This window comes from Homo sapiens, chromosome 22 (genome assembly GCF_000001405.40).
Source record: "Homo sapiens chromosome 22, GRCh38.p14 Primary Assembly".
NCBI classification, from domain to species: domain Eukaryota; kingdom Metazoa; phylum Chordata; class Mammalia; order Primates; family Hominidae; genus Homo; species Homo sapiens.
Genome location: NC_000022.11, coordinates 41721445 through 41735697, shown reverse-complemented (window position 1 = coordinate 41735697; position 14253 = coordinate 41721445). Strand labels below are relative to the sequence as shown.

The 14253-nt window shown below is 46.5% G+C and overlaps 1 protein-coding gene and 1 pseudogene across 29 annotated transcripts in view; one reads left to right on the top strand and one right to left on the bottom strand.

Moving 5' to 3' along the window:
- MEI1 (meiotic double-stranded break formation protein 1) overlaps nt 1-14253 on the bottom strand; it is a 99952-nt gene that overhangs the window by 63757 nt on the left and 21942 nt on the right. For 26 of the 29 annotated variants that reach the window (XR_937820.2, XR_937819.2, XR_007067959.1 and 23 more), the window contains 5 exons: nt 11625-11755; nt 5919-6033; nt 5061-5177; nt 3354-3453; nt 3095-3229 (listed from right to left, as the gene is read on the bottom strand). Coding sequence is in view for 25 of the 29 variants with exons in the window: in XM_011529945.4 (XP_011528247.1) it covers nt 3095-3229; nt 3354-3453; nt 5061-5177; nt 5919-6033; nt 11625-11755 (598 nt within the window). In the remaining 4 variants the exon portion in view is untranslated. Of the gene's footprint in view, nt 1-3094; nt 3230-3353; nt 3454-5053; nt 5178-5918; nt 6034-11624; nt 11756-14253 lie in introns of those variants that run through there. The other 3 variants (XM_011529938.3, XM_011529952.3, XM_011529954.3) reach the window with 3 other exon arrangements.
- RNU6ATAC22P (RNA, U6atac small nuclear 22, pseudogene) lies at nt 13567-13655 on the top strand (annotated as a pseudogene).

The window sequence follows — 14253 nt, the reverse complement described above, 5'->3', positions numbered from 1 at the left end:
CTTTCAAGATATAAATTCAAAACAACAGAGAAAATACAAAAGACATGATAACATAACACTTTGGAAGTATAATTTGGCCCTCTGTATTGTGGATTCTACATCTATGGATTCAATCAACTGTGGACCAAAAATATTTTTTAAAATCTATAAAAAAAATAACAATATGGCTGGGCACGGTGGCTCACGCCTGTAATCCCAGCACTTTGGAAGGCCAAGGTGGGGGATCACCTGAGGTCGGCAGTTCGAGACCAGCCCGCCCAACATGGAGAAACCCCGTCTCTACTAAAAATACAAAATTAGCCGGGTGTAGTGGTGCATGCCTGTAATCCCAGCTACTCGGGAGGCTGTGGCAGGAGGAGAATCACTTGAACCCGGGAGGCAGAGGTTGTGGTGAGCCGAGATCATGCCTTTGCACTCCAGCCTGGGCAACAAGAGCAAAACTCCATCTCAAAAAAAAAAAAAAAAAAAAACACTTTGGGAGGCCGAAGCGGGCGGATCACGAGGTCAGGAGATCGAGACCATCCTGGCTAACACAGTGAAACCCCGTCTCTACTAAAAATACAAAAAAATTAGCCAGGTGTGGTGGCGCGCGCCTGTAGTCCCAGCTACTAGAAAGGCTGAGGCAGGAGAATGGCGTGAACCTGGGAGGCGGAGGTTGCAGTGAGCCAAGATCACGCCACTGCACCCCAGCCTGGGTGAAAGAGGGAGACTCCATCTCAAAAAAAAGAAAAAAATACAATAAAAAAATATATAAAATGTAGGCCAGGTGCAAGTGGCTCATACCTGTAATCCTAACACTTTGGGAAGCCGACACAGGTGGATCACCTGAGGTCAGGAGTTCGAGACCACCCTGGCCAACGTGGCGAAACCCCATCTCTACTAAAAATACAAAATTAGCTGGGCATGGTGGCACGCACCTGTAGTCCCAGCTACTCGGGAGGCTGAGGCAGGAGAATTGCTTGAGCCTGGGAGGCAGCAGTTGCAATGAGCCAAGATCACACCATTGCACTCCAGCCTGGGCGACAGAGCGAAACTTCATCTCAAAAAAAATTTTAAATACAGCATGACAACTATTTACATTCCATTGTTTGTTTGTTTGTTTTTGAGATGGAGTCTCACTCTGTGGCCTCAGTCTGGAGTACAGTGGCAAGATCTCAGATCACTGCAACCTCCGCCTCCCAGGCTCAGATAATTCTCCTTCCTCAGCCTCCTGAGTAACTGGGATTACAGGCAAGCGCCATCATGCCCAACTAATTTTTGTATTTTTAGTAGAGACAGGGTTTCACCATCTTGGCCAGGCTGGTCTTGAACTCCTGACTTCAGGTAATTGGCCCGCCTCAGCCTCCCAAAGTGCTGGGATTATAGGCGTGAGCCACCGCGCCCCGTCTACATTGCATTGACATTGCATAGTCGTCCCTCAGTATCTGTGGGGAATTGGTTCCAGGACCCCTGAAGATACCAAAACCAGGATGCTCAAGCTCCTTACATAAAATGGTATAGTATTTGCATATAACCTATGCACATCCTCCAGCATACTTTATTTATTTTATTTTATTTTATTTTATTTTTTGAGACAGAATTTCACTCTGTTACCCAGGCTGGAGTATAATGGTGTGATCTCCACTCACTGCAACCTCCGCCTCCCAGGTTCAAGCAATTGTCCTATCTCAGCCTCCTGAGTAGCTGGGATTACAGGTGTGTGACACCACATCCGGCTAATTTTTTATATTTTTAGTAAAGACAGGGTTTCTACATGTTGGCCAGGCTGGTCTCAAACTCCCGACTTCAGGTGGTCCGCCGACCTTGGCCTCCCAAAGTGCTGGGATTATAGGCATGAGCCACCGCACGTGGTCCTCCAGTATACTTTAAATCATCTCTAGATTACATATAATACCTAATACAATGCAAATGCTATATAAATAGTTATTATACTGTTTGGGTGTTTTGTTTTGTTTTGTTTTTGAGACAGAGCCTTGCTCTGTCACCCAGGCTGGAGTGCAGTGGCGCAATCTTGGCTTACTACAACCTCTGCAGCAATTCTCGTGCCTCAGCCTCCTGAGTAGCTGGGACTACAGGCATGCGCCATCATGCCCAGTTAAGTTTTTGTAGAGATGGGATTTTACTACATTGGCCAGGCTGGTCTCGAACTCCTGACTCAAGTGATCCACCTGCCTTGGTCTCCCAAAGTGCTGGGTTTACAGGGATAAGCCACTGTGCCTGGCCTGGTTTCTTTTTTTCTTTTTTCTTTTGAGACAAGGTCTCACTCTGTCACCCAGGCTGGAGTGCAGTGGTGTGATCTCAGCTCACCGCAACCTCTGCTTCCCAGGTTCAAGCAATCCTCCCACCTCAGCCTTCAAGCAGCCGGAACTATAGGTGTGCACCAACATGCCTGGCTAATTTTTGGATTTTTAGTAGAGACAGGTTCTGTTGTGTTGCCCAGGCTGGTCTTGAACTCCTGGGCTCAGGTGATCCAACCCACCTTGGCCTCCCAAAGTGCTGGGATTACAGGTGTGAGCCACCATGTCCAACGTATACTGTATTGTTTAGGGAATAATAACAAGAAAAAAAGTCTGTACGTGTTCAATACAGACACAACCATCCATTCTTTAAAATTTTCAGCTGGATGCGGTGGCTCACGCCTGTAATCCCAGCACTTTGGGAGGTTGAGACAGGTGAATCACCTGAGGTCAGGCGTTCGAGACCAGCCTGGCCAACATGGTGAAACCTCGCCTCTAATAATAATACAAAAATTAGCTGGGCATGGTGGTACACACCTGTAATCCCAGCTACTTGGGAGGCTGAGGCAGGAGAATCACTTGAACCCAGGAGGCAGAGATTGTAGTGAGCTGAGATCACACCATTGCACTCCAGCCTAGGCAACAAGAACAAAACTCCATCTCCAAAAAAAAAAAAAAAAAAAATTTTTCAATCCATGGTTGGTTGAATCCATGGATGTGGAATCCACAATTATGAAGGGCCAACTATATTAGGTATTATAAGTAATCTAGGGATACTTAAATATCCGCTACCCTGGCCTCAACAGGCCCTTAGGTATATGCAGGGATGGAAAGTTCAGCCTGCCTGGGTCTCTCACCTCAGAAAAGCAGAAGTGGCCTTCAAGGCCTCAGCAGCCACCTCCAGCACAGGGCTGCTAACTGCTTCTTGGAGGGCACGGCCAGCATCTCTGCACATGGCTGAGCTTGTGAACAGCTTGATCTCCTCTGGCTGCCTGAGAAATGGAAGATGAGAAACGAGTAGGTGAACTCTTCTCACTGACCCCACCAGGAGTGAAAGCCCACTTTTCCTTCTGCAGTCTGGCCCCTACAAGCCTCATGTTCCACCACTTTGCTCACCGGGTCAGGATTTCAGCGAAAAGCAGCAGGCCCTGCTTGTGCAGCTCTATGTTGTTCATCTTCAGGCTTCCCTGCAGGCTCCTCACCACTGCCTCGATCCCTACCACAGGATGACATGACAGAGGCCAGGGATCAGTGCTCTCTTGTTCCTTCACTGCCCACCCAGAAGAGGTGACAGGCTCTGGACAGCATGTATGAGTTGGAGGCCACTCGTGGAGGGACCCTGACAAGATTGAGCTAATGGGACCAGACTGTGAGATCTTTGAGGCCGGGCCCTCATCTGATTCATCTCCCCAACACCCAGTACAAGCCATAGCACAGTCCCTGGCACTTGAGGTTTTCAGTGAACACCTACTGACCAAGCCATATTTTCTCCACTTGGCATACTCCTGTTCCTCCTTGGAGAATCAGGTCAAAACCCCACTCCTCCAAAAAGCCTTCCCTGATCCATTCAGAGCTGTGAACCTCCCCTGAGCCCCCACAGCTCCTGTGCTTCCCTCTAGCAGAGCTCTAATCAGCTCATAATGAAATTTCCCTTTGCATCTCTCTCCCTTTTCTGAGGGCAAGAACCAATGTTATTTGTTATCTCTAAATCTCCAGGTCCCAGCCTGGTGCCTGGCATAAACTAGGAATATAAAATGAATGACTGAATGTGCCTACTCTAAAAATCTAGATGTGGTATAATAAGTCCCAGACAGTGCACTCACGCCTGTAATCCCAGCACTTTGGGAGGCCGAGGCAGGCAGATCACCTGAGGTCAGGAGTTCAAGACCAGCCTGGCCAACATGGAGAGACCCCCGTCTCTACTAAAAATACAAAAAAATTAGCCAGGTGTGCTGGCAGTCGCCTCTAATCCCAGCTACCTGGGAGGCTGAGGCAAGAGAAGTGCTTGAACCTGGGAGGCAGAGGCAGAGGTTGCCGTGATCCAAGATTGTGCCATTGCACTCCAGCCTGGGTGACAGAGCAGGACTCCGTCTCAAAAAAAGAAAAAGTCGCCTGGCGTGGTGGCTCATGCCTGTAATCCAGCACTTTGGGAGGCCAAGGTGGGTGGATCACAAGGTCAGGAGTTTGAGACCAGCTTGGACAACATGGTAAAACCCCATCTCTACTAAAGATACAAAAAATTAGCTGGGCGTGGTGGCACATGCCTGTAATCCCAGTTACTCGGGAGGCTGAGGCAGGAGAATTGCTTGAACCTGGGAGGCAGAGGTGGCAGTGAGCCGAGATCACGCCATTGTACTCCAGCCTGGGTGACAGGGTGAGATTCCATCTCAAAAAAAAAAAAAAAAAAAAGTCCCAGACAAGGAAGGACAGTTTCAAGAAACTTTGAAAGAATAAATTAGCAAAACTTAGAGACTACCTGGATGGTTAGATATCTGCGGCATGGGAAAGAACTAAATCTAAGGTTGAGTAACACTGTTTAGAGTTGTTGTTAACATGCAACAGGAATTCATTTAGTGGCTAAAAGAAGTGTCCTTCCCTTGCTGAAGCGTCTAAACATATATACTTCCGATAATCAGCGAACAGCAGAACATTTGGATATCAATACTTGCATATGAAATCTGGTAATGAGTTTGGGCTGATGAAATGTCTAGACTCAGTGCTCCCCTCCAAGGTGGAGGCTAGCCCCCCATCACTGCGGCTGCTACCCAAGTGCAAACTGCCGTCCACCCAACCCAAAGCTAGTACAGGACCCTTACTACCAACCATACACCGTGTGGCACTTGGAAAAAAAGAGTGGCTCTTCTACCAGGAGTGTCAAGCAGTTACAGCTGGACCAGACGAGCACTTCACTGGAAGAAGAAAGATGCTCAAAGAGGAACTCTAACAAGGGAGAGGATGAGAAAACAATAAATGACAGCCATGTGATCACGATCCCTTAACTGATGCTAAGGCCTTGGATTTATTCAGCACCTTACTCTTGCTACTTCATCTGTTCACATATCCTCTCCATGAGTCATGATCATCAATCCACTAATAAACCTGGAAAGTGCCCTTGGTTATGGTTTAACCTCTTCTTTTTAACAGGTGGGGAAACTGAGTCCCAGAGAAGAGGCACTATTAGTGGCGGAAGTAGAGTTGGAACTTAAGTCTCCTAATTCTCAGAATGGGCAGTGGCGTGGATGAAGGAAAAAGAGTTTTTAGAGTCAGAGAGACTTGACTTTTTATCCCATCTCTGCCAATGACTAGGCCTGCCAATTATTTCATTCTCTGAGCCTCAATTTCCTTATCTATAAAATAGTGAAGATGAAGACCTAAATGTGGTAACATTTGCAATGCATCTCATAACAGTCCCTGCTCATAATAGTCCCTTGAAAAATATTGTTTCCTGTTGCCTACCTGGTCCACAGGTCTTTTCACCACCCCACATTAGGTTTTTATTCATAGATGACCAAATAAATGACAAAAATCGGTAACAAATTGCTCAAGGTCATACAAGAAATCTGTAGCAATAGGATTCAGATGTTATGAGACATAGTTCATAGGGTCTGTCATACACAATTGAACCTGTCACCACCCCATCCTTCTAGTATAGGGAGGAGAAGGTTAGAAGTGTTCCCCTACCTGGGATGTCAGCGTGGATGAAGGCTGACGCATGCTTTGCTGGGGAGTGGACAAGCACCGCAGTTATACAGTGAGCACTGGCCACCTGCAGGGTTTCATCTCTAGAGAGGAGAAGCTGGAGAAACAGGCAGCAAAAAGTACCCCAGTCACACCACGAATAGGACCAGAAAAACTGGCCTAGGTGCCTCAGGGCAATAGCCTAATTCATTTTCGATCCTTCCTGTCCCACATGGCACCAGGCACAAGGATGGTGGTCAGGAGAGCAGTTATGGATTATGGGAAGGGGTCTCCGTGAACAGCAGCAGGTGAGAAAAATAAGGAAAGAACACAATGTAAAACTCACCAGGGGCACTCAAAGAACACTGTAACTGTTATCACCAATAAGTGCTCAAGCCTTCATTAACAAAAGTACTTTCAAAGTCATCTGGTTTATTTATTTATGAAACAGGTCTCACTCTGTTGCCCAGGCTGGAGTGCAGTGGCATGATCATGGCTCATGGCTCACTGCAACCTCTGCCTCCAGGTATCCAGCGATCTTCTCATTTCAGCCTCCTGAGTAGCGGGGACTACAGGCACATGCTACCATGCCTGGTACCTTTTTTTTTTTTTTTTTTTGAGACGGAGTCTCACTCTGTCGCCCAGGCTGGAGTACAGTGGCATGATCTTGGCTCACTGCAACCTCCGCCTCCCTGGGTTCAAGCGATTCTTCTGCCTCAGCCTCCTGAGTAGCTGGGACTACAGGCGTGCACCACCACGCTCAGCTAATTTTTGTATTTTTAGTAGAAACAGGGTTTCACCATATTGGCCAGGCTGGTCTCGAACTCCTGACCTCGTGATCCACTTGCCTTGGCCTCCCAAAGTGCTGGGAATATAGGCATGAGCCACTACGCCTTGCCTTATTACTATTTTGTTTTTTTTTGACACAGGGTCTCACTTTATCACCCAGGCTGTAGTGCAGCCGTGTGAACATGACTCACTGCAGCCTCAACTTCTCCAACGTAAGCAATCCTCCTGCCTCAGCCCCTCAAGTAGCTGGGACTACAGGCATGCACCACCACCCTGGCTAATTTTTATTTTTATAGAGACAGGGTTTCACCATGTTGCCCAGACTGGTCTCAAATTCCTGAGCTTAAGCCATCCACCTGCCTTGGCCTCCCCAAATGCTGGGATTACAGCATGAGCCACCATGCTCAGCCCCAGCTCATTTTAAAATTTTTTATAGAGACAAGGTCTCAGTATATGGCCCATTCTGGGCTCAAGTGATCCTCCCACCTTGGCCTCCCTAAATGCTGGGATTACAGGCATGAGCCACTGTGCCCAGCTGGCCCTCATCTGGCTTTGATGTTTGCAACAATTCTGTGACATAACAAGGGAAGGTTCTACTATAAACCTCAATTTATTGAGTGCACAGAAAAGATTTAACACAGTAGGCCTGAGGCTATTATACTTAGAAAACCCTCTCTGCAAGGCTGGCTCTTGGCTGGGTTTGGGAACTTGGATTTCAGGAGGGTTCCTAACGGAACTGAGAGAGTGGCTCACTGTGACTAAACTATGTGTACAATGAACAGTTGACCCTTGAACAACACAGGCTTGAACTGTGTGGTTCTACTTATATGTGGCCTTTTTTCAACTGAACGCTGATGGAAAATGCAGTATTCACTAGATGTGAAACTGGCATATGAACAGGGCCAACTTACTGGAGTTTGCCAGGGCTGACTGTAGGACTTGAGTATATGTGGGTCTGGGTATATGCCGGCGGTCCTGGAACCAATCTCCCGTGTATACAAGGGACAACTGTAGTTTATGCTGAATACCTGTTTTCCTTCTGGGAGTCTGGAATTTTGGTACATGCTCAGCAGAGGATACCTACGTGAACGGCCAGTCCCCCATAAAAACCTGGGGTACTGACACTCCGATGAGCTTCCTCAGTAGGTAAGGTTTCACATGTCACAGTTCATTCCTGGGGAAATTAAGAAGTGCATCCCATGTGACTCCACTGAGACAGGACTCTGGAAGCTTGTGTTGGTTCCACCAGACTTCGCCCCATGCACCTTTCCTTTTGCTGATACTGCTTTCCTTACACTGCCGTAAATCGTAGCTATGAGTATGACTATACGTTGAGTCCTATGAGTCCTCCTAGCAAATCATCAAACCTAGGGGTAGTCTTTGGGAACCTTTAGCAAGGTTAGGTTACTTACTCTAGGCTACACAGCTGATAAGTGGCAAAGCTAAGGCACAAACTCAGGTCAGCCAAGTCCAAATCTAGGAGTCTACCCACAACTGTGATGCCTCCCCCATCAGAATTTTTAGATCAGGCATATTTGCTACTCCAAACATCTCAGTGAATTTCCATTGCACTCTGAATAATATCCAAACTCCTACTCGTCACCATAGCTATTAGGGATGCCTCTAACACTTTCAGAAATCAAGAAAAGCGTTAACTGCAACCACAGATTTTAAGTATCATAGAAGCTGATTTTGGGGGAGAAAAATGCCAAACAGAATATACATCACCAGAAGAATGGAGGGCATACCTGGTTTTACAGCTTTTAAGAAAAAGGACCAAGTAGACATGAGACTACTAATGTCTGGTAAAGATACATCTGAGGACTGCAAGCTTAACCCCATCTCAGCCATATTGGACTTACAAGTGGACACATAAACAGCCTTCCTACTTGTCAGACTTATCAGGAAAAGAAAAAAAAAAGCCAGATTTTCTGATAGTATATAAAGGAGTTTAGAAATTAGGGAGGCTGAGGCGGGTGGATCACGAGGTCAGGAGATCGAGACCATGCTGGCTAACACGGTGAAACTCCATCTCTACTAAAAATACAAAAAATTAGCTGGGTGTGGTGGCGGGCGCCTGTAGTCCCAGCTACTCGGGAGGCTGAGGCAGGGGAATGGCATGAATCCGGGAGGTGGAGCTTGCAGTGAGCCAAGATATCGCCACTGCACTCCAGCCTGGGCGACAGAGCGAGACTCCATCTCAAAAAAAAAAAAAGAAATTAATCTTTATCTTGTTCTCTTTTATAAAAGAAATGACATATTGTATCTTAAGATGCTATTGATGTAACGCAAGCCATTATTTTATGTACCACTAAGAAAGAAAAAGTGCTCCCAATTAAACTATGATGCACCATTGATGGTAAAATGTCTCCCAATTTCAGAGCTGTTAAAATGTGAAAAAATGTATCTCAGAATCAAAGAAATATGATATGTATCCATTAAAACAATGATTCTTGGTTTAAAATAAATATTCTTTTTTGAAGTTTAATTGGTTAAATTTCATTACACTTCAGTTTTGTGATTTGATAACACATTTTTAGTTTCCCTGTTGTTGTTTAAGTACATATGTTTGAAAATGGCAACAGTAACTGCTTTTAAGTTACTGCTTTTAAGTTAAGTTTTAAGCTTAAAACTACACTAAAACTTATGGAATACGTGTATGATTCCTAAGTCAGAAACCTGATCCTAGCTCATTACACTTGATGACCGACATTTAAACTCTGAAATGGACTAAACTATTTTCTTTAGAAGTCAGTTCTTTTCTTTTCTTGCTGTAGTCTCAGGACAAACTTTTCTTGCTATATTCTCCTGCCTCAGCCTCCCAAATAGCTGGGATTACAGGTGTGTGCCACCACGCCTGGCTAATTTTTGTATTTTTAGTAGAGATAGAGTTTCACCATGTTGACCAGGCTGGTCTCGAACTCCTGACCTCGTGATCCACCCGTCCCGGTCTCCCAAAGTGCTGGGATTACAGGCATGAGCCACTGCACCCGGCCTCCCTTCTCACTTCTAACCAGAGCTCCTCCTCCTCTTCCTTGCTGCAGAAAGAGCCCCAGAGTTTGGGCAATCAACCCCTGCTATCACATCAGGGTTTGCAGCTCTGCCAGCCCCCGTGCCGAGCACTGGGGAAAGATGCCAGACTCAGGTTTTGCCCTGAAAGAGCTCCCAGCCAGTCAACCACAATATGGTATGAGGTAAGCACGGTGACAGTGGGTCACATTCCGCCTAAAGGAGCCAGGGTGACAGGGGAGCCCTATAGGCTTGAAGGCTGACTCATATCAGCAGATAAAGAGAGGAGAAATGCCCTATAGGCAGAGGAAGAGCAACTGCACAGGCAGTGAGACAGGATGACCTAGCATATGCAGGACCAGGGAAAGACTGCATGTGGCTGGAGCACTGGGTTGTGGGGTGGAAGAGACAGGAAAGTGAGGCTGAAGGATATCCAGATAAAGAAGGTTCTCAGTACCAAGCTCAGAATCTGATCCCTAAAGCAACTGAGGTGACTTTGTTTCTATTGCTGTAAGTATTCTCCATTTTCAGGCAGCCCAAATGTGAAGGGGAAGTGCAGAGGTAAGAATTTACGGCTGGGCCTGGGGGCTCATGCCTGTAATCCCAGCATTTTGGGAGGCCGAGGCAGGCGGATCACAAGGTCAGCAGTTTGAGACCAGCCTGGCCAGCATGGTGAAGCCCCGTCTCTTCTAAAAATGCAAAAAATTAGCCGGGCATGGTGGCTTGGCGCCTGTAATCCCAACTACTCAGGAGGCTGAGGCAGGAGAATTGCTTGAGCCTGGGGGGCGGAGGTTGTAGTGAGCCAAGATCACGCCACTGCACACCAGCCTGGGCAACAGCGAGACTACATCTCAAAAAAAAAATAATAATAATTTACAACTGAGGCTAGGTGCAGTGGCTCACACCTGTAATCCCAGCACTTTGGAGGCCAAGGTGGGAGAATCACTTGAGCCCAGGAGTTGAGACCAGCCCAAGCAACATAGAAAGATCCCTGTCTCTACGAAAAGTTAAAAATTAGCCATGCCTCATGGTGAACACCTGTAGTCTCAGCTACTCAGGAAGCTGAGACAAGAGGATCGCTTGAGCCCAGGAGGTTGAGGCTGCAGTGAGCCGTGATTGTGCCACTACATTCCAGCCTGAGTGGAGAGAGCAAGACCTCGGCACTTAAAAAAAAAAAAAAAGAATTTACAAATGAAAGGAAATCTACTTTCTATCACCCAGGCTGGAGTGTAGTGGCATGATCATGGCTCAATGCAACCTCCGCCTCCTGGGTTCGAGCAATCCTCCCACCTCAGCCTCCTGAGTAGCTGGGATTACAGGTGCATACCACCACGCCCACGCCCAGCTAATTTTTTTTTTTTTTTTTTTGAGACAGAGTCTCGTTCTGTCACCAGGCTGGAGTGCAGTGGCGCGGTCTTGGCTCACTGCAACCTCCGCCTCCCAGATTCAAGGCATTCTCCTGCCTCAGCATCCCGAGTAGCTGGGACTACAGGTGTGTGCCACCACGCCCAGCTAATGTTTGTATTTTTAGTAGAGATGGGGTTTCACTGTGCTGGCCAGGATGGTCTCAATCTCTTGACCTCATGATCCGCCAGCCTTGGCCTCCCAAAACGCTGGGATTACAGGCGTGAGCCACCACGCCCAACTTTTTTGTATTTTTTATAGAGACAGGGTTTTGCCATATTGCCCAAGCTGGTCTTGCACTCCTGGGCTCAAGCAATCCACCAACCTAGGCCTCCGAAAGTGCTGGGACTACAGACATGAGCCACCGCCCCCAGCCAGTATATTATTTTGCCCAGTAAGAAAACACTTGGAAATCTGAGATAGGAGTGGTAGATGAAGACAAGGCCCAAGAAGCACTTGGGTCCCCTTGTTATTGAACCTAGAGACCAGGAATCACAAGACAACTACCTTTTTGAGCACCAAAGGCAGTGAGGTATTTCCTGATGACCCTTCGATATTCTTAGCACTTTCTCCCAGTCCATCCTGGTTCATGATCATGGACACAAAGAGATCATACTTCAACAGCTGCCTCAGCAAACCTAGGAAACAAAGGGATTGGGAAGTAAGGCAAGAGGAACACAGGCACCAGAGTACTCCCAAGATAGCCCCTCAGACATCCCCAGAGAAACTTCTTCATCCCTCTACAAATATGAAGAATGGTTAGAATCCTTAAGCACCAATTTGCTTTTTGCACCCGACTCTCTTCCACACAGATCTAGTGAGAGCCCACTAAGTGCTAGGCCTAAGGGTCTAGGGATTCAAGAGTAAGCAAGATAAACATAGCCCGACTGCCTCACTCAACTATAAGTTTCATGAGGGCAGGAATAATGTGAGTTTTTTCAACATAACATCATCCATCACCTGGCACAGTTCCTGACACATAGCAGGAACTCAAAAAATATTTTTTGACTAACAAAGGGAGCATACACTCCTGTAGGAGAAACAAACACAAAAACAAGTAAGACAAGACCAGGCGTGGTGGCTCACACCTGTAATCCCAGCACTTTGGGAGGCCAAGGTGGGTGTATCACTTGAGGTCAGGAGTTCAAGACCAGCCTGGCCAACATGGTGAAACCCCCTCTCTAGTAAAAAAATACAAAAAGTAGCCTGGCATGGAGGCATGTGCCTGTAGTCCCAACTACTCAGGAGGTTGAGGCAGGAGAATCGCTTGAACCCAGCAGACACAGGTTGCAGTGAACTGAGATGGCGTCACTGTACTCCACCCTGGGTGACAGAGTGAAACTCCATCTCAAAAAAAAAAAACCAAGTCAGACAAATGACCCTTATAATTGTGATAAATGATGTAAATGAGAAATACCCAAATACATGAAAATGTATATGAGGATTTAACCCAGTGTGGGGGATCAGTAAAGCCTTCCATCAGCAAGTACCATTTAAGCTGAATCTGAAAAATAAGTACGTAAAAGTAGGTGAAGTGGGGAGAAGTATTCCAGATACAGAGAACAACATTCTAGAAAGTGAAAGAAAGCCAGAATGGCTGGGGGAAAAAAAAGTCCAGAAATTACATTTGAGAAGTAGTCACAAAAGACCACATAAGCTATGTTAAGGATTCTGGTACTTATGCTGGGATTCATGGTAAGTCACCAAAGTGTTCCAAATAATACATACTTTAACAAACAAGTAAAGAAATGCATGTCAGAATATTAAATATTAAAATTAAATAATGTGGAAAAAAGCCCAGAGGACCGCAGGAAATCAAATGAATCATCTAATCTAGCCTGGGGGCCCAGGGAAGGCTTCTATAAGAAGATATTTGAACCAAATCTTGAAGGATGAGAAGTTGGATGTGAGCCAACTTCTGGGCAGAGGAATATATAAAGGCAGGAGAGTATGGTGTGTTCCTGGAGATGGATTTGGTTCAGTAAGGCTGAGTTAGGGTGGGGACAGATAGAGAAGTGAGAGATGAGGCTTGAGAGGTTAATAAGGATTAGACCATAAACAGCTTATGAGCATAGTGGGACCCCATCTCTACAAAAAAAAAAAAAAAAAAAAATTAAAATGCTGGCAAGGTGGCGTGCACCTGTAATACCAGCTACTTGGGAGATCAAGGTGAGAGGATCACTTGAGGCCAGGAGTTCGAGGCTGCAGTGAGCTATGAACATGCTACTGTACTTCAGCCTGGGCAATAGAACAGGTCCCATCTTTAAAAATAAGTAAATTAAATAAAATAAGAACTTATGAGGATCTTGGGTTGTAAAGTAAGTGAATAAGATGACATAAGACAGAATATAAGACCCTTGGTGCTTCAAGGGTCCAAAGGATGTGACTACATCCCTGGCTGAGGGGAGAGGGTGGGAAGGAAAGGCTCCAGAGAAGAGGTGACCTTTAAGTGTTGTCTGAAAGAAGGTTAGCACTCCCGTTGACCAGGATAAAAGAGGCCCTCGGGTCTGACAAACATGCATAGGGTTAATTTTTTTTATTATTTAAAAAAAAAAAAAAAGAGGCTGGCCGCGGTGGCTCACGCCTGTAATCCCAACACTTTGGGAGGCCGAGGCAGGCAGATCACGAGGTCAAGAGATTGACACCATCCTGGCCAACACGGTGAAACCCCGTCTCTACTAAAAATACAAAAATTAGTCGGGCATGGTAGCACGCGCCTGTAGTCCCAGCTACTCGGGAGGCTGTGGCAGGAGAATCACTTGAACCCGGGAGGCAGAGGTTGCAGTGAGCTGAGATCGTGCGACTGCACTCCAGCATGGTGAAAGAGCGAGACTCCATCTCAAAAAAAAAAAAAAAAAAAAGGGGTAGCATTTAAAAACGGGAATTCTGGCTGGGTGTGGTGGTTCATGCCTGTAATCCCAGCACTTCGGAAGTCCAAGGCACGTGGATCTCTTGAGCCCAGCAGTTCAAGACCAGCCTGGGCAATATAATGAGACCCAGACTCTACAAAAAAAAATTTTTTAATTAGCCAGGCACGGGCTGGGCACGGTGACTCATACCTGTAATCCCAGCACTTTGGGAGGCCAAGGCAGGCGAATCACGAGGTCAGGAGATGGAGACTGTCCTGGCTAACACG